The sequence below is a fragment of the Homo sapiens genome, chromosome 17, assembly GCF_000001405.40.
Source record: "Homo sapiens chromosome 17, GRCh38.p14 Primary Assembly".
NCBI lineage: Eukaryota > Metazoa > Chordata > Mammalia > Primates > Hominidae > Homo > Homo sapiens.
This window is the reverse complement of record NC_000017.11, coordinates 5,768,873-5,792,008: the sequence shown is the minus strand read 5'-3', so window position 1 is coordinate 5,792,008 and position 23,136 is coordinate 5,768,873. Positions and strand designations below refer to the sequence as shown.

At 48.9% G+C, this 23,136-nt stretch overlaps 1 long non-coding RNA gene across 1 annotated transcript in view, besides 2 other annotated features; it reads right to left on the bottom strand.

The window, feature by feature from the left end:
- LOC339166 (uncharacterized) overlaps positions 1-19,775 on the bottom strand; it is a 158,463-nt gene extending 138,688 nt beyond the window's left edge. Inside the window, exon 1 of the long non-coding RNA NR_040000.1 lies at positions 18,982-19,775. This is a non-coding gene — a long non-coding RNA (uncharacterized LOC339166). The remainder of the gene's footprint in view (positions 1-18,981) is intronic.
- Positions 5,961-6,010: an enhancer, noted in NCBI's record as "active region_11583". NCBI's record gives its function as "activates an Ori minimal core promoter by ATAC-STARR-seq in GM12878 lymphoblastoid cells {active_cell/tissue: GM12878}" and the evidence as "EXISTENCE:reporter gene assay evidence [ECO:0000049][PMID:35858748]".
- Positions 6,177-6,366: an enhancer, noted in NCBI's record as "active region_11582". NCBI's record gives its function as "activates an Ori minimal core promoter by ATAC-STARR-seq in GM12878 lymphoblastoid cells {active_cell/tissue: GM12878}" and the evidence as "EXISTENCE:reporter gene assay evidence [ECO:0000049][PMID:35858748]".
- Positions 19,776-23,136: the final 3,361 nt, after the last annotated feature.

Genomic DNA, 23,136 nt, shown 5'->3' with positions numbered 1-23,136 from the left:
AGTTAAGACTGGAATCCACATGGAGACCAACAAGATTAACTCTTGAATGTGGCTGATATTGTGTTCATGAGACAGAAGAAAGGTACTTCAAGATGCAACACCTTCTTTTGGAAACTCCAGTCTAAGTTGGCCAAGTCAAGACCAAGCTTATCAGATCCATCGGATTCTGGACTAGATCTTCCAACTGAACCTCCAGAGTCAGTGGCTGAAACTGGAGCATGTGTGCCAGTACCTGGCCACACTAATTATGAGGGCAGGTGGGAAGAGACAAAGAAGGAGGTTTCTTCCATTCCTGGATTCCTTCTTCTCCCCCCAAGTAAATGCTGCCACATCTCATGGGTGACAAACCTTCTATCCTTCTCGCCCAAGAGCTGTATGGATCTTTCATTTGTTTGGCTTCCACATTGAGTCCCTCCCCAGAATTTTCATCCAGGCGGGAGAGTCAGCTCTCCAGTGGTCGTCCCAGCCACACCTTTCCACAGGCATTCTCACTTCGCAGGCCTCACATACCTGCTATTTCTCAGCTTCAGCCTTAATTGCTTGTATTGTGCTTCTCACCTCAAAGGAAATGTTTCCCACGTCAACATTATTCAACAGGCCTCTGATTTTCTTATCAGAAATGTCATTCTGACATTTTAAATACCAACGGAGTCTTCTCCATAAGGTAGCTTTGATCTGGCCTCTCTCCAGCAAAAGGACTTTCAATTATGACCACCAGACCTGCCAAGAGCCCAAGAGCTGGGTACCACACAGACTCCTCCTGAGAAGTGCACTGACCGAATAGCCCACTGGACCTAGCCCTGAGGGCTGGCCCCAAGGCTTTTCTTACAACCTCCTCCAGAAGCCTCTCTTTCTCCTCACAGCCTCTATCCTACCCTTCATTGTGCCAAGAACTTCTTCAAAGTTAGAGCAAGCCATACTCAGCTCACTATCTAGGGAACAAAGCCATGCCCAAGATGAGGAGGCCCAGGAAACAGAAGCCCTACATCAATCAGACCCCATGAGGACACAGAATCCAACAGGGATGATGCAAAGGAAGAAACTCAAATTAAGGAACTCCTCTCAGTGTTGCGGCAGGAATTGTGAGGCATCACCACCCATAGGCATAAAGGAGAAGAGGAAAGAAATATGACTGGGACCCAGTGAGAGCTAGAGCCACTGAAGATGACACCAGACAGGACATGGACGGGTCCAGCAACTTCCAGAACATGGCCCAGAGCAAGGAGGGTCAGAGAAAGCCCCGCCTCATCCTCTCTCTCTCTTTCTCTCTCCCCTCTCCAATCTTCTATTAGTGCCTCACTGGCCAAACCCAACAGATAGTCAGCAAGGAAACCCTGGGTGATGTCCTCCTGGGGCACAGCACAGGTCAGGGAGGCAAAAAGGGCAGACAGGATTCGAGGGTATAGGACAGGGGTGCACAGAGAATAGCAAGCACCAGCAAAGTCTGGTTATAAACATCTACTCTCCTGCCCCTGCCTCGCCCTCCCCGAAGCTGGTGCCCACCCAACGCCCATCACTCATGGTCCTGGTTTCACGATCTCTATTCGTCTCTCATAGCTCAGGTCTACAAGGCCACTGGCAAACCTGAGGATGCAGAATCTTCCTGTTTTCCCTCCGTCTTCCCCGTATTTCCTTTCTATTCTCTTTTCACAAAGCTTCCTCTCATTCCCCCAAATACAGTTTTTACTAAGTCCCTGGGTCCAAGGCAGCTCTGCAGAGCCTAGGGTCACTTCAGTGATGTCAGGCAAAGAAGCAGGGGGAAAAACACGTAGGATCCTCTCCTAAAATTCAGGATCTAAGAGCCTAGGATAGACGCAGGATTCCGCAATGTCCCCTCTGCAAGTGAGCCAGGACTGTAGAAGCACAGGTTTTCTCCGCTGGGCAGCAACAAGCTGAGTTCCACTTCTGGCCCTGTCACTAGCTCCCATTCAGCCCAGTGATTCCCCTCATGCTTACAGACTGCTCAAATGAACCTCCTTCTAAAAGAAATCCTGGGAAGGAGTCAGAGAACTGGAAGAAGCTGTCATTGTTCCCTTGGAGTAACTGGGTTGACAGCAAACCCAGCACGATAGCCTTAAACACAGACGCTCGGCAGACATGCACCTGACTGAACGGAGTTCTATGGGAACCCAGCGGGGAGATTTCATTTTGTCATGCTCCCCATTCCCAAGTTGGGCCCTAATTCTTCTCTCCTCCCCCACAATACGGCGTATTCCTGCATTATGGGCGTCCTTCCATAGGGTGCTCCCGTGGCAGGGTAGCCTATGAAAAATGAGCCTCGCTGGCCATTGTGCAAATTCACAGTCTTGCCTGACAGCTAACAAGCTCTGTGGTCAGGAAGCGCAACAGAGTGAAGGTCCAATTACGGCAGAGGAAATCCTCCTACAAAGGGCTCAAATGCGCTAACAATCCATTGCGGAAGGTCAGGGAGCCCCTAACGGGCCGCCTGCTGTCAGAGAGGCAGCAAAAGGCTGAAAGTGAACCGACTGCTCCACAGCGGCAGCACGGAGATGTTTGTCCTGAATCTCTCTTGTTCAGAATCAGTCTTGACAGAAAAAAAAAAAAAAAGGGAGGGGGCATCACTAGGCAAGGGGACAAGCAAAGTCATTCGGCAATTTTTGTAAAGCGCAGCTCTGGAGGACTTCCCATCCCCTCATCAAATCCCTCTTTAGTGATTCCCCATTGCCTGCAGAATAAAATACCAAGGTCTCCCTGCCTGATCTTTAGAAAAACCCATTTCCCTACAGCCAGGTGTCTTAGAGGGCAGTTTCTGGGGCATGAGCAGAACTTAAAAGGTAGATTTGGGTTTTTTTGTTTGTTGTTTTTGAGATGGAGGGAGTGTTGCTCTGTCACCCAGGCTGGAGTGCAGTGGCATGATCTCAGCTCACTGCAACCTCTGCCTCCCAGGTTCAAGCGATTCTCCTGCCTCAGCCTCCCGAGTAGCTGGGATTGCAGGCACCCACCACCACGCCAGGCTAATTTTTGTATTTTTAGTAGAGACAGAGTTTCGCCATGTTGGTCAGGCTGGTCTCGAACTCCTGACCTTAGGTGATCCGCCCACCTCGGCCTCCCAACATGCTGGGATTACAGGTGTGAGGCACCGCGCCTGGCCTAAAAGGTAGACTTATATGCTCCCTCCCAAGTTCTTGAATGAGAATCTTGGAGGCAGGGTGGGGGCAGAATTCTTTCCTGGGTGATTCTCAACAAATTCATTCATTCACTCATTCATCCAATCAGCGAGTATTCAGTGATCAGTTAATCTGTGCCAGGCAGGCCCCATGCTGGGTGCTGAAGATAAGGGGTGAGCAAAAGGCATTCTCACTCTATTTTCCCTGGAGCAGCTGCTGAGGACAGACACGAATCACATAATCACACATGTGAGCTCAGACTTAGTCACCAACTCTGGGTACGGCCGGAGCCATGCGTGGTGCCCACAATGACAGCATGATATGGGGGCTGGAAGCCCAACCTTGGTGTCAAACAGACTTCTCTTGGTCCCACTTCTGACTGTGAAACCCTGGGCAAGGTCCTGCACTATTCCAAGTCTCAGTTTCTTCCTCTGTGAAATGGGGCCAACCATACATACCTCATACTCCTCAGAAGACAGTGAGATAATCCACGTGAGGCATTATCACCATGTCTGGTGCTTCCTATGTGTACAGTAAATGTTGGAGAGAGGCTGTGGTGGCAGGACTGGAGTTGGTTGTCATACAACATGGCATTAATAGGAGTTGGTTGTCATGCAACATGGCATTCGTAGGTGCTCAGTGAAGTTTCGATGGAATTGAACTTGACTTCTACAATTTCTCCTAGTTACATTTTCTATCATACTACTGATTTGAGGAGAATTTCACTAGGATATCATAGTCACTTTCTTCCTTTCCTTTGGAGGAAGGAAACCAGACACAGAAACAGCCATTTCAAACCAACAAGTGGGACGAGGTGCAGTGGCTCACACTTGTAATCTCAGCACTTTGGGAGGCCGAGGTGGGAGGATCATTTGAGCCCAGGAGTTGGACACCAGCCTGGGCAACATAATGAGACCCTGTCTCTATAAACTAATAGTCAATAATAGTAATAATAATAGTAATAAGCCGGACATGGTGGTGCACACCTGTAGTCCCAGCTACTCCAGAGGCTGAAGGGGGAAAATTCCTTGAGCTCAGGAGTTGGAGGCTGCAGTGAGCCATGATCATGCCACTGCACACCAACCTGGGTGACAGACCAAGACTCAAATAAATACATAAACAAACCTAACAAGGACCAGGGTCTACTTCTCCGATATCTGGTGGGTTGAGACTGTCTCATGACCTTGGCCAACTCTCTTGCCCTCAAAGAAGCGTCATATAAATAATGAGGAAATTGGACCATGTGATGCCTCAAACCCCCAAGGTGGGTACCACCAGCTTCTTGTTTTGCCAGATAGGACATTTTTTAAATTATAATTATTATTTCATTTAAAAATGATATTTTAGCACTTAAAGCGTAGAAAGGACATTGTTTCAGAATAAAATAACAACTTTTCCCAAAAAGAAATGTTGACCACCTTCCATGTACATGATGCGGACATTCGTGTCTCACTTTGACTAGCTGGTGAAAGCTCCCCTCACAGACCACCCCAGTCCAGAGACCCACAGTGGTAGGGACTGATGACCTAATCTGAGAATGATGATGATGGTGGTGACGATGATGATAGCAACAGTAAACATTTACACTGCAATCAGTACATCGGAGGCACTGTCCTGAGCACTTTCTATCTACTAACTCATTTAACATGCACTATCACCCAATGAAGTAGTTCTAATCGTGGCCCCATTTTGCAGAAAAAGTAATTTTCCCAAGTTCTCACCAGTAGAAAGTAGCAAGATGGAATCTAAGGAGCCTGTACTACTCTTAACCACTCCACTCTACAGAGAGGGAAACCGAATTTCCCAGAAAAGGAAAAGAATTGCTCAAGGTCACACAACTAAGCAATACAGAGACTCCTACTTTCTGACTTTTCCCCAAAACACACTGTAGTGTTTGATCCTGCCTCTCATGCATCGAGACCCAGCTCCCCAGTGGAGGAAGGTGGCCCCTCCAAATAAACTTCTCGAGGGAGGTGAAACAATTAATTTTTGAAAACAGTCAGCTCATCATTCGGATAACTTGACCGTTCTTTTTCTCCAGTTTATTCCACCCAGCAGCCTGGGTTGCCTGAGGCAGTCAACTGCTGCTCGCTTCTTCTGGACCTTGGCTTTACCACCAGGTAAGTGCAGCTGTGATGAGATGGCTGAGGCTCAGGCACCCACCGGGAGAGAAGAACAACGTCCAATTAATCACCTCAAAGCCACTGACAAACACCAAGCCATCTGGCAACTCCACTGAAACCTGGACAAGGCTGCATTTCAGCCTCACTTAGAAGTCCAAGTTAGGCCCCTTAGATGCTGAGGGAGAAAGACAATGTTTCCCTTTCCTCTCCTCTTGTCTCCGGCTCTTCAGCCAGGGTTTACTGAGCTTCAGCTGTGTGTCAGGGGATGCAGAGATACATCAAAGCCAGGCCTGCAGTTGCTCACAGCTTGGAAGGAGAAACAGATAAACACACGAGTCACTACAGCACTATGTGGTAAGTGTCACAGCAAATAGGGGAACTCATACCATGTCAGCACCAAGAAAGAAACACCTGCTTTCTTGAGGAGGCTTCAGCCAGGATTTTCCCTGGGGACTTGAACGATGAGTCGACTGGTTAGGGCAAGATGAGGCCACCAGTAGACTGTCCCCTATGGAGGCCAGCAGAACTGCTGAACCATGGAACTTTCCAGCACAGAAACAGCGTGGGAAGCCACGTGAGCTCCCTCCCTTCCTGTAGGGGGTACCCAGCTTCTCCCCGTGTCGTGGATAAAAGATACCAGTTACCCAACGGGACCATGCCAGGCCACCACTCTGAGAGGGCCTGATGGTGGGGAACAGTCAAGAAACACAGATGGCTGGCCGGCAGGACTGGGTTCCTCAGCCTAAATGTTCTTGCTTCGTACTTAGATTCACAGAAGCATAAAACAGGCTATTTAAATTTGACATCAGAGGTTATTCTTCTATGCTGGGAAGTAGCGATCTGGCCCAGTAGAAATAGCAATCCTTTAAATTTCCCTAACACTGTATAGTTACACTTCATTTCATTTGGCTGGTACCTGCAGATGTAACCGGTGTTCACATCTGCCCTGTGATTGTCCCAAGTAATCCTCTATGTGACTGGGTGTCATCTGTGCATCCAGCCACCAGCCAGAACTTTCCACCCTAAACTTTTGGTGCCCATGTGTCCAAAGCCTCTGGGTTTGAGGCCTGGGGGAGCCAAAGTTCTTTTCCTTCAGGAAGAAAATAAATTGCTCTGAGCAACCGAAGGGAATCCGAGATAATAGGCAGTCTTAATGAACAGCTCACACAGCACCCAGCTCAGTGGAGCACAACGGGGCTGACAGGAAATGTCTCATCTCCAAACACAAATGCAGGGTCCGGCAAAAAGCAGGCAGCACAGGGGACATGCTTGACTGGGAATGAGAAAAATGACTGTGACTAGAGGGAAAAAAATTCCAATTACTTCAAATTTGGCAATTGATCCTTCTTGCACAAATGGAACCTGGCCAGGCATGGAGACTCCAGGAATCTCTTGGGGGAGGTTGAGGGTTGCTAGTGAAAGGGGCTTCAAGGGGTTTTGCTGCAAATTCCCGTGGAGCTTGGGGGATGGAGTGGATGGGTGTCTGACTTGTGTCTGAAAATTTTAAAGGACAGAAGGTTGGCTGAAGTAGCCTGTGGCAGCATTGTAGAGAGCAGAGGTGAGATGGTTCAGAGTGGTCTTAAAAGAAATTTACCCAGAGGGCTGCCTGGAGGGGCATCAGGACCCCAGAAGACAGTCTGCGTGAGGAAGAGCATCCCCAGGAATCAGAAGTCAACAGAGAATGTCATAAACTGCCCACAGAGAGTGGGCAAGTAAAAGAGATCCCAGAATAGGGATGAGGGTAGTATATGGCATCATAGGTCACGATGATTCACTCCTTTATAATAGTCACAGTTTGGCTATGGACTCCTGGTGAGCACAGGTGACTGCTCACAGGTGCCTTGCTCCTTTACTTTGAGCTAGGCCTGTGACTTGCTATGGCCAAAGGGGTATTCTGAAAGCAGGGAAAAGGTGAGCAAGGCAGGGCTGCAAATATGCTTGCATGTGGCAGGGCTAGCCCTCTGGTGTCCCAGTGATCCATCTTGAGAAGATGAACCTGGGCCTGAGCCCTACAGGGAACACAGAGGGGCCAAGAACCAAACCCACAACCTGGAGCCACAGCCACCTGAACCCATAGCTTGAAGCAGACCCACCAGCCAAACAGTCTGAACCAGCCAAACAGCTGCAAACCCATGACCATGAGAATAAATGCTGGTTTTAAGCCACTGAGTTCTGGAGCTGTTTGTTATGCAGCATTATCCAGCAGAGGTTGATAATACCAGGGGTCTGAAAAACTCTCAGCAGCACCTATGAGAGAAAGGCTTGGCTCTAAACAGCAGCTGATGTCAGAGGAAATAATTGCCAGATTCCCCTCACCCCATACACACAGTTATGAAAACCATCCCTGCCCTTTTCTTCTTTCCTTACCCTAGTCCACACCTCCTAGCCTCACTCATCCCTCATTAGCTAGTGGGATGAGGAGAGGAGAATGGGCGAGGGTGATGGTCAGTTTTATGTGTCAAGTTGGTTAGGTTACAATCCCCACGTATTCAAACAAACATGAATCCATGTGTTGCTGTGAAGGTATTTTGTAGATGTGATTAAAGTCCATAATCAGTTGATGTTAAGGAAGGGAGGTTATTCCAGATAATCCGAGTGGTCCTGATTCAATAAGTTGAAAGCCTTAAGACCAGAACTGAGACTTCCCTAAAGAAGAAGAAATTCCACCTGCAGATAGCAGAATCAGCTCGCGCCTGCAAGTTCCATCCTGCCCTTCCTGGAAGCCTTCCCTACAAGTTTCAGGCTTGCCTAGGCAGCCCCTACAATCACATAAGCCAATTTCAGGCAATAAATCTCTTAATATTTATCTCCCATTGGCCTTGTTACTCTGGTTGAACTCTGACTGATAGAGATTTCTGGAACCTAGAAGTGAGGTGCTGCTATAACAAATACACAAAAATGTTGAAATGGCTTTGGAACTGGGCAGTTGGCAGAGGATGAAAGAATATTGAGGGGCACAATAGAGAAAGCAGAGATTGTCTTGAACATACTGCCAATAGGAAGATGGATGTTAAAGCCTCCACCATGAATGACCAGAAGGAAATAAGGAGCACAATAATAAAACATGTAGCATTTTACTAAACACCCAAATCATTGTGAACAGCCCATTGGCAGAAATAGAAGTTTAAAGATGCTTCTAATGAGGGCTCAGAAGGAAATGAGGAGCGTGTTATTAGAAACTGGACGAAAGTGGACCTTTGTTACATAGAAGCAGAAAGCTTAGCTGAACTGTGTCCTACAGTCATGTGGAAAGCAAAACTTATACATGATGAACTTGAATGTTTAGTTGAGGAGATTTCCAAGCAAAGTGTTGAAGGTGCAGCCTGTTTTCTTCATGCTGCTTATAGTAAAACATGAGAGGAAAGAGGTAAATCGAGGAGAGAACTGTCAAGAAAAAGGAATTGGGAGATTCTCAGCCTATCCACAATTTTGCAAATAATACAAAATTAGGGGATTCGTTGTCAAGAAAGCATGCACTGGAAAGGAGGTACGAAACTGGAAGTGGTGTCAGACCAATGCGGGACCACAAGCCAAGGAATGCAGGCAGCCACTGAGACCTGGAAAAGGCAAAGAAGTAGATTCTCCCCTAGAACCCTCCACAGGAATACTGTCCTGACAACCCATTTTGGACTTTTGAACCACAAGATAATAAATCAAGAATTATAAGACAGTAAATCTGTGTTGTTTAAGCCTCTAAGTTCATGATAATTTGATGCAGCTTCAATAGGAACCTATTGCAGGGAGTAAAGAGAGAAAAATCTCCCCCAACTCCCTTTCCTGATTGCAAGCTTTAAATGAAGTTTGGAGCCTTGGGTATTGCCCCAGATTAGACATACTAATTACTGAACTGAGACTGTCCAAGGGGCTGAGGCAACCAGATAACATTTTATGATCTAAATGTGGTCAGAGAAGTGCAGGGCCTTCTGGAGATCTCATTAGGATCAGGGGAAAACAAGTCCTACAAAGTGAGTTTAAAGAGGCAAAACTAAAGTTGCTTTATAAAGGCATCTGAGGCCAGGCACAGTGGCTCACGCCTGTAATCTCAGCATTTTGGGAGGCTGAGGCAGGCAGATCACCTGAGGTCAGGAGTTCAAGACCAGCCTGGTCAACATGGTGAAACCCCATCTCTACTAAAAATACAAAAATTAGCTGGGCATGGTGGTGCACGCCTGTAATCCCAGCTACTCGGGGGACTGAGGCAGGAGGATTGCTTGAACCCAGGAGGTGGAGGTTGTAGTGAGCCGAGATTGCACCACTGCACTCCAGCCTGGCAACAGAGCAAGACCTTGCCTGCATGGAGGGAGGGAGTCACAGGAGTACCCTTATGTCTTGGAGTCTTTGGTGAATTATTAGCCAGGGTTTCACCCACTCAGTCCCAGGTCTAGACTCAAAGGTCAAATTCCCTGAACATGAAAGAGTCCCCTTGGGATGCCATAGGGAGCAGACGTGGACCATGGACCCCACACAGTGAAGCTGAGGCTGAGTGGTTTTGAATTGGGATGGGACTATCTCCACATCCAAACCCTGCCCCTTCCTAGGTGTGTGTCTTCAACAAATGACTGAACTTCTCTGGACCTTGCTCCCCTTATTATAAGGACCATCATGCTCACTTCATGAGGCTCTAATGAAGGTTAAAGGAGACAGCACTAAGGGAGTAGTAATGCTCAAAAAACAGTAGCTGTAATAATAATAATTAATATTACAATTAGATCCATCCCCACTTGCATCTGTGCCTGCACCTGCACTGCACCTGAGCCATCCTCCACCTGCACCTGAGCCATCCTCCACCTGTACCTGCATCTGCACCTGAGCCATCCTCCACCTGCACCTGCATCTGCACCTGAGCCATCCTCCACCTGCACCTGAGCCATCCTCCACCTGTACCTGCATCTGCACCTGAGCCATCCTCCACCTGCACCTGCATCTGCACCTGAGCCATCCTCCACCTGCACCTGCATCTGCACCTGAGCCATCCTCCACCTGCACCTGAGCCATCCTCCACCTGTACCTGCAGTGCCGTCGCCACCTCTGCCACCACTGTTCTCACCAGCCCCAGCCCCACCCCGACTGTCAGCTACCACAAGGCCTTCCCTCCTGAAAGCTCCATGGCCATAAACAGTTTATGTGATTATTACATTTAGCCCACATTTGCAATGACTTCCTCTCTTTAATCACTTTGAAGATGTTTCAAATTCCTTTCCAACGTGACTGAAATCAAAGTGGCACCTGTGAAGGGAGAAAGCCTGCCTGCCGGTGCGAGGTGGAGACGTAAAACAGTCAGGTTTGATGGGGAGAAATTATGTCTTGCTTAATTCCTTTTACCCTATAATTACCAGGCGCGACCACGTGGGTTCACAGCAAAAATAACTTGCCACGTGAAGACGTTGTCTATAGAATCCTGGTTTGAGTCCCCAGGCAAGACCCTCAGAGGAGGATCCCAGGCAGCCCCCGTCCAGGCATCTACACAGTACTGTGGTCCACCTTCCTCACTAGCTTTCCAACCCCACCCCTGACCCCCAACCACCGAGGCTCAATTCCCAGGCACCCACTCTGCCTTATCCTCTTCCCCTCTCTGCAGCATTTGACTGGCGGTCACCTCCCTCTTCACACTCTTCCCTGGTTTGACTTCCCTATGCCTCACCCCACCCTCAGTCTCCTTTGTATCTCTCTCCCCTCCTCCCTTTCACCACCCCCTGGGCACCAGCATCCCTGAGGCCCTATCAGCATCTCTCTTCTCTTTCTTCTTTCCTCCCCGTCTCTCCTTTTTCTCTCTCACATCTCCTCTCTCCTCTTCACTCCCATTCCTTCAGACAGCAGGTCTACCCTTCAGACTCTCAAACCCACAGCCCATCTGCGATCTCCAGACTTCAGGCCTCTAACTTCCACTTCCAGCTGCTGGCTTAGTGTTTCCACTGGATACCCTGCTGCGTCCAAACCCACGCCCTCCTGATTTCTCTTTCTCCAGGTAAGAACTCCACCACCGCGGCTTACTTCTATATCTCTAAAGCCACTCTACCTTGCCTTTCTCCTCACGTCTGGATCCAATCTGACACCGCCCACGCGGGAGCGCTCATGAGGTGGCTTAGAGGAAATTACAGGAGCCTTTGAGTCATAGGCACTCAAGTTCAGATCCAGGCTGGGAGCCTTCCGGTCATATGACTTTGGTGTCCTTATTTATAAAACAGCAAGGAAAATTCTTACCTCCCAATATGTTTTTTAAGAACCAAGTTATACAATATACGATTATGGTTAACACATCTTCCCCACCCCACCTCCATTTCCTGCCCTACTTCCAATGCTTTTACTGAGTCTACAGTAAATCTCAGAACTGGTCTCTGCCCCCTAGCCCCAGTACTCCCTCCCATCCATCATCCACCTTTCTGCCAGAGGGCTTTTGCTAAAACTTAGTTCTGAACCCATCACTCCCCTATTTAGAACCCTTTGGTGGTTGCCTGTGGCTCACAGGTTAAAGTTCAAAGCAGAAGCTGTGTCAATGTGATGGGAGTGAGAACCAGTTGACTATGGGGCCATCCAGACATTTCAGATCCTCATCCCCAACTAATTAGTTGTTTACACTTTGGGCCTCACTTTCCTCAACTATTTTTTGTGTGTTTGTTCAGACACAGTCTCACTCTGTCGCCCAGGCTGGAGTGCCATGATGCAATCTCGGCTCACTGCAACCTCCGCCTCCCAGGTTCAAGCAATTCTCCCACCTCAGCCTCCAGAGTGGCTGGGATTACAGGCACCCGCCACCATGCCTGGCTAATTTTTTTTTTTTTTTTTAGTAGAAACTGGGTTTCACCATATTGGCCAGGCTGCTCTCGAACTCCTGACCTCAGGTGATCCACCCACCTTGGCCTCCCAAAGTGCTGGGATTACAGGCATGAGCCACTGCAACCGGCCCTCAACTATTTTATTGTCATAAACTCCTAACTCACAAGACTGTGGTGAGAAGTGAACAGACTTTAGAAAGTGCCTACTGGGGTTTCAGCACACAGTAGGTGGGTCCCTGTCCCTCTTTACTCCTCACCTCCCCACGTTCATCCTCAACCCCAACCAGACCATTCACACTCTGGAGTTTCTGTGTCTCTGCTTATCCACCCACCTCTCAGTTTATGCATAATCCTTTTATGCTTTTGGAAACAAAGTGGTGGTTTCAACTGCCTGTCACCATGCTGGAGGCCTGAGCAGGCACAGACTCACAGCACCACGGGAAGGCCAGTCACAGGGCACATGCTATTTGCAGCATCACTAGAAAATGTTTCCCAAAGCAGTGTTCCCCTCTCTGGGGGGCTGGCCATGGTGCTTCATGAGCTCTTTTACTGCCCAAGTTTTTTTTTTTTTTTTTTTTTTGTGATAGAGTCTCACCCTTGTTGCCCAGGCTGGAGTGCAACGGCATGAACTCGGCTCACTATAACCTCCGCCTCCCAGGTTCAAGCAATTCCCCTGCCTCGGCCTCCCAAGTAGCTGGGATTACAGGCACCTGCCACCACGCCCAGCTAATCTTTTGTATTTTTAGTAGAGCTGGGGTTTCACCATGTTGGCCAGGCTGGCCTCGAACTCCTGACCTCAGGTGATCCACCCACCTTGGCCTCCCAAAGTGCTGAGATTACAGGTGTGAGCCACCGTGCCCGGCAGATGTTTTCTTTTATCATCTTTAAATGAAAGCTCTGGATTAAGAAACAGCAAAAGGTGGCTGTGCCATCTGTGGAGGAAGCACGAGGGTTATAAGTCATGTTGATGAAGGCAAACAGATCCTAAAGATGAACCTCCTGCATTCCCATAGTAGAACCTGTGCAGAACAATGTCAAAGAGGCCCTGGATTAAAGAACATTTCAGTGTGGAGACTCTCGGACGGCACACACTCCAAGAGCAAGAATTCCTACGGGAAGAAGGTGGTAAGTAAAAGGTCAGGGCCAATGTGGCCAGTTGATTTTTATTTTGCTTGATTCACTAGTAAACATACATGCCTATTTTTCCCTTAAAAAGTGGTTACATACCATTCACAGTCAGATGCCATATATCCAAAGGGTGGAAAGAAAACACCTGTGATTCTTGCTTTTTCTTTTTTCAAAGTAAAATATCATTTTGATTCAAGCCTTATTTAATTGTCTGGGGCATCTCAGGACTCACAGTTGGGTCTGTGGAGAGGAGTGTGACCTTGACCTTGGCTTTGGAGAATGAACCTGCTCTGTGCACTCCCCTCCTTTGTCCAGGGTCTCCCTCCTGATGTCCCCGAAACTTTCCCAGTCCCGCTCTGCACATGGCACGTGGCCTGGAAATGTAACCAGCCACTTCCCACATTTTTTTTCTATTGCACTTCTAAGGATCTTTTTTTTTTTTTGGGCAGAAAAATATACACAACATCAAATTTACCATCTTGACCATTTTTAAGTGTACGGCTCAGTGGCATTCACACATTCACACTGTGCAGCCATCACCACCACCTCCAGAACTCTTTTCATTTTGCAAAATTGAAACTCTGTACCCATTAACCAACTCCCCCTTGCCCCGCTTCCCCCACCCCAGCCATCACCATTCTACTTTCTGTCCCTGATTTTGGCCACTCTAGGAACCACGTATGAGTGGAATCATACAGTCTTTTGGTATCTGGCTTATTTCACTCAGCATATAATGTCTTCAAGGTTCATCCATGGTGTAGCATGTGTCAGGATCTCACTTCTTTTGAAGCCTGAATACCACCTTTTGTTTACCCATTAATAGACACTTTGGATTGTTTTCACTTTTTTTTTAAAGCATTTGAGGTAAAAACATACATATATAATTTAGCAACTTTATCATGTTTAAGCTTCCACCTTTTGGCTCTTGTGAATAACGCTACTATGAACATGGGTGTGCAAATCTCTGTCCAAGCCCCTGCTTTTGCTCCTCTTGGATATACACCCAGAAGGGGGATTTCTTTCACTATTCTGTTTTGCATCACAGTTAAAGGGTTACAAATCTTCTGTCATCACCCTCCATCCCTAAAACAGCAGCGCCTCACATAGCACAAATCTTTCCTGAAATACAGTCTCTCTCATTCTGGCACACACCTTTGCACCTGGCTGCAGGTGACCTGAGTTGGCCAGAAGTAAGCAGTTGCTGAAGTTTTGCTGATTTGAACCCAGCTCAAGGTGTATGTTTTTTCCTGGCCATTCTTCTGAGGCCAGAGTTCCCCCTCTTGGCCTGAAATGCAAAAGGGAACCAAGATTTGCACATTTTTTCTTAATTGCCCTGGACACTCATTCCCATCCTCTGTGCTTTCAGGTAGTTTTTCCCACTTAGCCTGAAATATTCAGTCATTCCAGGCCCTTGGAGGTTTTCCAGGAAATCTCACTTACTAATAAAGTGCCCTTTTGGCAGGGCAGGACAGCAAGGGCCAGAAAGGAGGTCAGAAGCCCATGGGGTGAAGCTGGCTTGACCCAGGCCATTAGAATGAGCAGTACCCTCCCAGACCAGCTGTGGAGAGGGCAGAGATCAGGGGGTGGCCCAAACCACAAGGACACTCAAAGCCAAATGTGGCCATCACCAAGGGATTCGGAATGGAGAGGCAAGTTGCAGGAGCCTGAGGCCTCCCTGAGCCCTGCACTACTTGACTCAGGAAAAAAAGTCTAGGCCAAGCTAAACCGAGTCTTTTAGTACAATAAACCGATACCAGGCATGGGCTGAAGAAGAGCAAAATGTCCCAACTACACGGGAGGGGAAAGAGCACCAGGCTGGGAGTCAGGAACTCTAGGAATTTTTTTTTTTTTTTTTTTGACAGAATCTCACTCTGTCACCCAGGCTGGAGTGCACTGATGCAATCTTGGCTCACTGCAACCTCCATCTCCCCAGTTCAAGCGATTCTCCTGCCTCAACCTCCCGAGTAGCTGGGATTACAGGCATGCACCACAGCGCCCGGCTAATTTTTGTATTTTTAGTGGAGAGGGGGTTTCACCATGTTGGCCGGGCTGGTCTCAAACTCCTGACCTCAGGTGATCTGCCCGCCTCTGCCTCCCAAAGTGCTGGGATTACAGGCGTGAGCCACCATGCCTGGCCTCTAGGAAGAATTTTCAGGATGGCCTCAACCATTCCTATGTATTTACCACAAGACGGCTTTGCAGCTCCTCCCTCCAGGAGGCAGAGTCTATTTTCCCTCTCCTTATATCTGAGCTCACCTGTGACTTGCACTGACCAATAAAATTCAGTCCAAGTGATGCCAGGATCTTCTGGGCCAGACCTTGAGGGGTCCTGCTGTTTCTGCTTTCTCCCTCTTTCTCCCCTGAGACCGCTATGTAAGAAAACTGATCTTGAGGGGCCACATGGAGGTTAACTGAGGAACCCAGCCAACAGCCAGACATGTACAGTGAGGCCAGCCCGCCCAACCATCCAGGGAACACAGTGAGCCCAGAAATACCAGCAGCAGAACAGCCAGCCAATCACAAATCAAGGAAAATAAGATGTTACTATAGTTCTGAGTCACTAAGGTTTGGCAGGAGGTGGTTGTTGCAAAGCTGTGGTTAACCAAGGCTAAGTCTTAATTCCTGCTCCACCAAGAAGCCACTGCATGGCTCCAGGCAAAACACCTTTGTTCCCTGGTCTTCTGTTTCTTCTGCAATACAATTAAGGGAGTAAGAAATGAGAAAGGAATAGAAAAGAATCACAGGCTTTAGGGCTCATCAGCTAGCATCTTAACTCTGTCACTACCGGTGTGACCTTAGACAAGCTCCTTAACCTCTCTGAGCCTCAATTTTCTCATCTCTCATATAAGAGTAATAATACCTGATTGAGTTTCTGTGAGGATGAGTTGAAATAAAGTGCTCAGCCAATAGTAGGTACTCAATAAATATTAATAGCGATGTCCTCGGGGAGCTGGGATTATGGTTAGGCACATGGACTTTGGAGCTACCTTCTCCAGGTTCAAATCCCAATCATGCTACTTTCTAGCTGTGTGGTCGTAGGCCAGTGACTTAACACCTGCACCTCAGTTTCCTCACATTATTATTAGATGACAATAGTACCTAGCTCGTAGGGTTGTTGTGAAAATTTAGAGAGTTTATACATGTAAAGAGCTCAGGGCTGTTTCTGGCACATAACAGGTGGCTCAATAAGTATTATATGTGTGTTTTTTTGTTTTTGTTTTTTCAGTTTATAGAACCCATTCCATCTACTTAACCTTCCCCTGGTCAGGTACAGAGGTGAGGAAACAGGCTGATGAGCTTGCCAGTTGATTCGCGCAAGGTCACAGAGCTAACAAATGTCAGGAGAGAAGATTCAAACTCAGGTCTGCAGGACTCTGAGCCCGGACAGATTAGTAAAATTCAACCACCATTTACTATGTGCCTGCCCCTGTGCTGGCCTTCGGAGCTGCAAGAATGTATGAGACCTTTCTCCACCCTCAGGCATTCTTGGGAGGGCAAACAGGCAACATTGCAATGTGATACGGGCTGTATAAAGGGCACTCAGAGCCATTAACTCTGCTGGGGCAAGTCCTAGGAAGCACAGAGGGGGTTCTCCCATGCTGAGTATTAAAACACTAGTAGATTCGAGCCACGTGCACGAGGAAGTACATTTGAGGCAGAAGGCGCAGCATGGGCAGGAGCTCGGAGAAGGGACTGGCAGCATGTGTGCAGAACCACACTAGACATCAGGGTCTAGTGAGGCTGGTGAGAACATAGGATTTCTTTCCTGCCACACATAAAATACCAAAACAGATTCTTAGGGATGGCAGTGAAGACCACAGCCAGGGCCTCAGTCACCCGTGACTGTCTCTCTCATCAACACCTTCTGGCAAAGCCATAGTTTCCATAATGCCCTTGGACATACCCTTTCAATCCTTCCTTGGAAGGGATAAAAAAGGAGGAAACAAGTTTATTCTCTTTCTACTCCCTCCTACTCCAGACCAGCCTGTACCATCCCAGACCCTGGCACGACCAACCCCACCTACTCCCTATCTCCCTGGGCACTGACTAGTAAGGCATGAACTAAATGAGTTTGCACTTGAACTCCAAATCCCAAAACCTTGCAGGCTTTGAAGGATGCTTGAGGGTCACCTGGTCTGATAGGGCTCCATGCAGCAGTGGGAGGTGGAGGCTGGGGGGTGGAGGTGGAGGCTGGGGGTGGAGGTGGAGGCTGGGGGGTGGAGGTGGAGGCTGGGGGGTGGAGGTGGAGGCTGGGGGGTGGAGGTGGAGGCTGGGGGGTGGAGGTGGCTCAACCCCAGGTGTGAAGGACTCATGAGTTACCAAGAGCAATCTTCCCACCCTGAGACAGGCTCTTGCCCACACCTCCTGGCGTCTGGAAAACAGCGGACCCGTAAGCCTCAAAAATGAGCTTCCTAAGGGCTGCTGAGTGGACACCTTTGCCTGTTCCATAAGTTCTTATTGAAGTGCCACAATAAATCATGCTTTGTGACATGTATGCAGCCTATGGGAAAAATCCATCCTAACTCTTGAATTCCCATTTCTAATGATCCTCAAGAAATTATTGAGAAAATCAAAACACTGTGTTTCGAAGGACTCACCACGGTTCAAACGGTTTCCACAAATCCAGAACGCAAAAGGCATTTTTCAAAGGTTTACTGTTCCCCAAATGACAATAATGCCATATTGACTGACTTCAGAGAAGCTCTGGGAATTTGGAAAAACCAGTCAAGCAAGCAAGATCTTTAACAGAGAAAAAAAAAAGTTGGTGAACTTGACAATTTTGTTAAAGTTCACAGCATTTTCCTGTTTTGACAGCACTTTTGCAGGTCCTGATGCCTCCGGGTCTTGGATAACACCATCCTCTACTTAGAGCTCCAGCCTCCAGCATCCCCAAGCCAGCCTGCCCCCCACGCTGCCAGCAGAGACATCTTTCTAAAACACAAATGGAATGTTACTGCTCAAAACCTTGCTGCAGCTTCTGGGGTGTTACTCTTGAAAGAAACTACAACAGTTCTCCAGCTTCTCCGGAATCCCCCAACCCACCTCAGCCAGAGGGAAGAAAATTTGGGTACTATCGACGGCCTGAGATTCATGATAGATACACACTCGCATTCATTCATTCAACAAACATTTAAGTGCATATTATATATGAAAAAAACAGGCAAAAATCTCTGCCTTCATGGGGTTTATATTCTAGACAGAGAGAGAGACAGACAAATCAGATAAATAAGATATATTGTACATTAGATAGTGATATAACAAACATTATGTGCTGGATGAGCCGGATGATGGAAGCAAATCCCCCCACGCACACACCCCACCCCAAGGCCTTCCACATGGGGTTTTTGGTTTTTGTTTTTCTTGAGACGGAGTCTCACTTTGTCACCCAGGCTGGAGTGCAGTGGTGCGATCTCGGCTCACTGCAACCTCTACTTCCCAGGTTCAAGTGATTCTCCTGTCTCAGCCTCCTGAGTAGCTGAGTAGCTGAGTAGCTGGGACTACAGGCGCACGCCACCACGCCCGAATAATTTTTGTATTCTTAGTGGAGACAGGGTTTCACCATGGTGGCCAGGATGGTCTCGATCTCCTGACCTCATGATCCACCAACCTCAGTCTCCCAAAGTGCCGGGATTACAGGCGTGAGCCACCGCACCAACCACAGCTCTTCTCTTTAACAAGCACTTAATCCTACCCCGCAGTAGCCCTCCTGGGAGCAAACGGGGTGTCCCACCTGATGTGGGTTCGAAGATGCTTGTCTGTGCATCTCAACCCAAGCTACAACCGTCCCGTCCTCCCTGATCGCAAACACATCCCTTCCCAGAAACAAACCTGTCACTTTCTTCTCTGTTAAAAGGCAATCTGCAACTTGAGGCAACAACGGAAGTCTTGCGAAGATAACGGCGGAGCGTGCCAGTGGGTTTCCTAATATGGAGGGACTGCCCTGTAGAGAGGTAGGAGGCGTGGAAATTCCCAGCAGCTGAGTCTTAGTAATTACAGCCAGGAGAGCCCTAGCTGGGATTCAGAAAGAGAGAGTGCGCCCATGCAGGCTCCTCAAATCCAGCCAGCCACGATTCAGCTCCAGAGAGGCTGGCCCAGAGAAGCAAAGAGGCTTGGCTGTAGCTGTGTGTCCGGAATTGGCGGGTTCTCAGTCTCACTGACTTAAAGAATGAAGCCGTGGACCTTCGCGGTGAGTGTTACAGTTCTTAAAGGTGGCGTGTCCGGAGTTTGTTCCTTCTGATGTTAGGATGTGTCCGGAGTTTCTTCCTTTTGGTGGGTTCGTGGTCTCGCTGGCTCAGGAGTGAAGCTACGGACCTTCGCGGTGAGTGTTGCAGCTCTTAAGGCGGCGCGTCTGGAGTTGTTCGTTCCTCCTGATGGGTTCGTGGTCTCGCTGGCTTCAGGAGTGAAGCTGCAGACCTTCGCGGTGAGTGTTACAGCTCTTAAGGCAGCGCGTCTGAAGTTGTTTGTTCCTCCTGGTGGGTTGGTGGTCTCGCCGGCTTCAGGACTGAAGCTGTAGACCTTCGCGGCGAGTGTTACAGCTCATAAAAGCAATGTGGACCCAAACAGTGAGCAGCAGCAAGAGTTATTGCAAAGAGCAAAAGAACAAACCTTCCACAGTGTGGAAAGGGACTCCAACGGGTTGCTATTGCTAGCTTGGGCAGCCTGCTTTTATTCTTATCTGGCCCCACCCACATCCACTGATTGGTCATTTTACAGAGAGCCCAGTGGTCTGTTTTGACAGGGCGCTGATTGGTGCGTTTACAATCCCTGAGCTAGACTCAAAGGTTCTCCACGTCCCCACTAGATTAGCTAGATACAGAGTGTGGACACAAAGGTTCTCCAAGTCCCCACCAGAGTAGCTAGATACAGAGTGTGGATTGGTGCATTCACAAACCCTGAGCTAGACACAGGGTGCTGATTGGTGTGTTTACAAATCTTGAGCTAGATACAGAGTGCTGATTGGTGTATTCACAATCCCTGAGCTAGACATAAAGGTTCTCCAAGGCCCCACCAGAGTAGCTAGATACAGAGTGTGGATTGGTGCATTCACAAACCCTGAGCTAGACACAGGGTGCTGATTGGTGTGTTTACAAACCTTGAGCTAGATACAGAGTGCTGATTGGTGTATTTACCATCCCTTAGCTAGACATAAAGGTCCTCCAAGTCCCCACCAGACTCAGGAGCCCAGCTGGCTTCACCCAGTGGATCCCGCACCGGGGCCGCACGTGGAGCTGCCTGCCAGTCCCGCGCCATGCGCCCGCACTCCTCAGCCCCTGGGTGGTCGATGGGACTGGGCGCCTTGGAGCAGGGGGCGGCGCTCGTCGGGGAGGCTCCGGCAGCGCAGGAGCCCACGGAGGTCGGGGCGGGCGGGGGGAGGGGGAAGCTCAGGCACGGCGGGCTGCAGGTCCCGAGCCCTGCCCCGTGGGAAGGCCCTAAGGCCCGGCGAGAAATTGAGCACAGCAGCTGCTGGCCCAGGTGCTAAGCCCCTCACTGCCGGGGGCTGGCGGCGTGGGCCGGCCGCTCAGCGTGCGGGGCCCGCCGAGCCCACGCCCACCCGGAATTCGCGCTGGCCCGCAAGCGCCGCGCGCAGCCCCAGTTCCCGCCCGCGCCTCTCCCTCTACACCTCCCCACAAGCTGAGGGAGCCGGCTCCGGCCTTGGCCAGCCCGGAAAGGAACTCCCACAGTGCAGCAGCGGGATGAAGGGCTCCTCAAGTGCCACCAAAGTGAGAGCCCAGGCAGAGGAGGCGCCGAGAGCGAGCGAGGGCTGTGAGGACTGCCAGCAGGCTGTCACCTCTCAGCTGCACAGCTGGCTATTCAGTAGCAGAACTGAGACCCAAGAGCAGGTCTTCTGGGAAGCAACAGGGTATGAGCGTTAAGAACTTGGGCTTTAGAGGCAGACACGCTTGTTTCAAATTTCCTCTTGCCTTTTGCTAGCTGTGTGGCCGTGTGTATGTTTATTGAGTTCTGAGCTTCAGTTTCCTCACCTGGAGAATAGGGATGCCAGTGCCTGCATTCCAGAGAGATTGTGAGTGGATCCTGTTACAGCGTCAGATATGTGGTGGGCACTCAGTAATGTCCAATCTGATCACTGTTATGCTGACACCAGAGTCTGCTGCTACACAGACTCACACAGGCATCATTCAATCATCCGGGGTCTGTTTCTTCCTCTCTCTGTCTCCCTTGGCCCCTCTATCACTGTCCTGTGTCTCTCCTTATCTCTTTGTGTGTCTCTATGTATCCCACTGTGTTTTCCCTGTTGGTCTGTGTGTGTTAAAGGATCTCTGTCTCTCTCTCTCCGTGTGTCTTTGTAAGTGCATTTCCCTCTGTGCATCTGTGGGACTGTCCACTTCTGAGTGTGTATCTATTTCCAAATATTCTTGTCTCTTTGTGCTTGTTTCTGTGTCTTCACCCAGCCCTCTCTTTCTCTCCATCTCTATTTTTCTTTTCTTTCCTCCCTCTGTATCTCTCTGTCCCTCTCTTTCTTTCTTTGTCTCTGTTTCTCAAGCTCTCCATGTGCCTCTGTCTCTCACCCGCTCTTCTCCTCAAAACCAGAAGTGACCCAGCCGACTCTCACAGTTCATTACAAGGAAAACATTGAACAATCATTCTTTGCTCGTGCAAGGAGCTCGACAGCTGGAGCAAACAATGGGAAATTCAGAATTAATTGGGTGCTGATTATTTGCCAAAGGAAAAAAAATGGGGAAATGTATATGAAACAGAAGACAACCTAGCAACAGTGAAAACCTCAGCACGCAGCAACAAAAGCAAGCCTAATGAAGCATGACAATGCCTGCGCAGGGCCGACAGCCGGCCACCGCATACTGAGAGGGAGGAGAACAAATGTGAGCACTGCCCTGGAGCCAAGCGAGGCCATTCTGGGGCACTTGGGGTCCTCAACAGCCACAGGCTCCCAGAAACTGTGTGTTGAAGAGCCCAGCAATCCCAGTCCCATGCCACACACATGGGCCCCCCATTTACTCAGTCCCCATAAAAGCATCTCATAAGCTCATAAGCACCTGCCTTGGCACTGAGGAGGTAAACATGATCCAGGCAGGGTCTCCATGCTCAAAGAATGCCCAGTTCAGCCTGGAGGGGAGAGCACACAGACAGGCAGCTGCAATCTATTCCAAGAGCTGCAGCAGAGCCGCCGCAGAGCCTAGAGCACCTGCACTAAGTTTGCACACAGGGTGAGAAGGATTCAAAAAGGGGCTAACACTCCAGCAGAGTCTGGGAAGAGGAATAGAAGTTTGTCGGGTAGGGAAGGAAGGACAAGCATAAAATGCAGGAGGAGCAGCATGTGTGAAGACACTGAGGGCAAAAGGGCACAGTGTGTCCAGAGGACATCGAGAAACCAGGGTTCAGGTGCTTCCTCTAAAGCTTCAATACAGAGCTGCCATATGACCCCAGCAGTTCCACTCCTTGGTATATACCCAAGGGATTTGAAATAAGAGACTCAAGTCCTTGTCCATGACTGTTTATTGCCAGCACTATGCACAATGGCAGAGGTGGAAACAACACAAGTGTCTGTTGATGAACGAATGGATAAACTAAATGTGGTGTGTCCGTGCTATGGAATATTATTATTATTTTACTTTAAGTTCTGGGATACATGTGCAGAACGTGCAGGTTTGTTACATAGGTATACATGTGCCAAGGTGGTTTGCTGCACCTACCAACCCGTCATCTAGGATTTAAGCCCTGCATGCATTAGGTATTTGTCCTAATGCTCTCCCTCCCCTTGCTCCCCACCACCCCCGACAGGCCCCGGTGTGTGATGTTCCCCTCCCTGTGTCCATGTGTTCTCATTGTTCAACTCCCACTTATGAGTGAGAACATGTGGTGTTTGGTTTCCTGTTCCTGTGTTACTTTGCTGAGAATGATGGTTTCCAGCTGCATCCATGTCCCTGTAAAGGACATGAACTCATTCTTTTTTATGGCTGCATAGTATTCCATGGTGTATATGTGCCACATTTTCTTTATCTAGTC